Below are 2,491 nucleotides of genomic sequence, written 5' to 3'. Positions count from 1 at the left end.
GGAGCCCTTCTTTCCTAAACTCAGTCCTGTAGGTAAAAACAGGCATGCAGAGTCACGAAGATATGGTGTCATAAAGCCCCTTTCCAAGCTACTCTGGAAGCTTGGAAGTTACTGGGGCAGCTGAAAACCCTAGCAGGATTTATTACTCCTTAGCCCAGTAGTGTATATGGAATGTGCACTGTGTATGGCCACCAGTACTACTGCTGCCACCGTTGCTGGAGTGATTGCCACCTGCCAGACATTGGACTAGGTGCTTTGAATTATCTGTCTCATTTAATGCTCACGACACTGAATATAGGTATTTTTAAATCTATTGTACATAATTTTAAAAGGCTTAGATTTGGTTTATTTATTTATTTATTTATTTTTGAGACAGAGTCTTGCTCTGTCTCACCCAGGTTGGAGTGCAGTGGCGCGATCTTGGCTCACTGCAGGCTTCACCTCCTGGGTTCAAGCGATTCTCCTGTCTCAGCCTCCTGAGTAACTGGGATTACAGGTGCCCGCCACCACAACTGGCTAGTTTTGTATTTTTAGTAGAGACAGGGTTTCACCATGTTGGCCAGGTTGGTCTCAAACTCTTGACATCAGGTGATTCACCTGCCTCGGCCTCCCAAAGTGCTGGGATTACAGGTGTGAGCCACTGCACCCAGTCCTAAAAGGCTTGTAACTTGTAATTTGTAACTTGTCCAAAGCATAGCTGTTTTCAGTGACAGAGCTTGGATCTGAACACGGCTCTTTGTAGCTCCTGTTCTTCCCACTAAGCCATGTTGCCTCTCCTATTTCTTTTTTTTTAAGCAAAATAATTTTATTTCCTAACATATGGTAACATATACATCCAATATGTGCTCCCCTTGCACATCTATTCACAAGTGACTTCCAAATGACAACTGCCTTGATATTTAAGCACGTGCTGAAAGTTATCTTAGTTGAGATATGAAAAATGCTTTAGATGGGTAATGTTCTGAGTACATGGGATTGGTCACAGCAGAATTTACTTAGATGAGTTCTACACATTTAAAGCTTTGAAAAGCTACTATTTTACATCTAATACATCCAGATGAACACGATGCAGCAATATCAGCTTGTATTCCAGAGAAATCCCATTAGTTCTTCTGGTGATGGAACCACGTATCCACGTCTGTTGGTACTGTGCAGGCAGATTCACAGGGTGGTGGTAAAGCATCCACAATGGCTCTGGCAGCATCAGGATCACACTTGAACAGGCTCTCAGACACAGTTTTGTTCATGCAGCTGATTCCTTTTCCATTCATTTTCTTAGTCACTAATGCTTTCCAATGGTCATGAGTGCTTTTAATAATATCAATTGCAAAGTCCTTATCTTCAAATTCTGCATTAAAACAAACTCATTTTCTGGTTTTCCATCAGGAACCTTATACCTTCTAAACCAGTCCACAGTAGCCTCTAAGTAGCCGGGTTTCAGCCGTTTGACATCACTGATATCAGTATAATTGCCTGCATCAGGATCATCCATATTAATGGCAATGACTTTCCAGTCGGTTTCCCCTTCGTCAATCATAGCCAATATGCCTAGAACTTTCACACCAATTATTTCACCTCTTGCACATACCTTGCTTCCAATTTCACACACATCAATTGGGTCATTGTCACCACAACAGCCAGTATGTTTATCATTGTGCCCTGGGTCTTCCCAAGTCTGAGGGATGGCACCATAGTTCCAGACATATCCTTTATACGGGAACAAATTCGCAACATAGCGAAGTTTTCTTTTTTTCACATCTTGTTTAATGGGGTTTAAAGGGTCCTTTGTAGCAACCTCCATTTTTGCATTAGACCACAGTGGTACTTCAACTACCACGTGGAACACATCCTTATCTGCATAAATTGGAATATCTTGAAATGGAGACATATATTGTCCTTTCTCATTTTTGAGGAAGACTCGGTACTTCAGGGAGAAGGGCGTGGCGCGCTCCTCAGTGCTGAAGCCGCTCATGGTGCCGGAGTCCAGCCGCCACCACTGCCACAGAGCCACCAGCCCACATGTGGCGCCGACTGACAGCCTCTCCCATTTCAAGAAATAAGTCGGCATACAGAGAATCCTAAATTACACACAACTTCACAAGATTCAGACATCATCTGCTGCATAAGATGAGACCTTTAAAAGCCTATTCTAGAACTAGCCACCCTTGCCAAGAATAAATTGGAAAGTGGTTGATTTAGTGTTTTTTTTTTTTTTTTGGTTTTTTTTTTTTTTTTTTTTTGAGACGGAGTCTCGCTCTGTCGCCCAGGCTGGAGTGCAGTTGTGCACTCTTGGCTCACTGCAAGCTCCGCCTCCCAGGTTCATGCCATTCTCCTGCCTCAGCCTCCCGAGTAGGTGGGACTACAGGCACCCACCACCATCCCCAGCTAATTTTTTTTTGTATTTTTAGTAGAGACGGGGTTTCACCGTGTTAGCCAGGATGGTCTCGATCTCCTGACCTCGTGATCCGCCCACCTCGGCCTCCCAGAGTGC

At 43.8% G+C, this 2,491-nt stretch overlaps 1 pseudogene; it reads right to left on the bottom strand.

Annotated features, from left to right (window-relative positions):
- On the bottom strand, positions 790–2,037 carry LOC285591 (inorganic pyrophosphatase 1 pseudogene; annotated as a pseudogene).

The sequence above is a fragment of the Homo sapiens genome, chromosome 5, assembly GCF_000001405.40.
Source record: "Homo sapiens chromosome 5, GRCh38.p14 Primary Assembly".
In the NCBI taxonomy this organism is placed as follows: Eukaryota; Metazoa; Chordata; class Mammalia; order Primates; family Hominidae; genus Homo; species Homo sapiens.
This window is presented reverse-complemented; position numbering and strand designations above follow the sequence as displayed.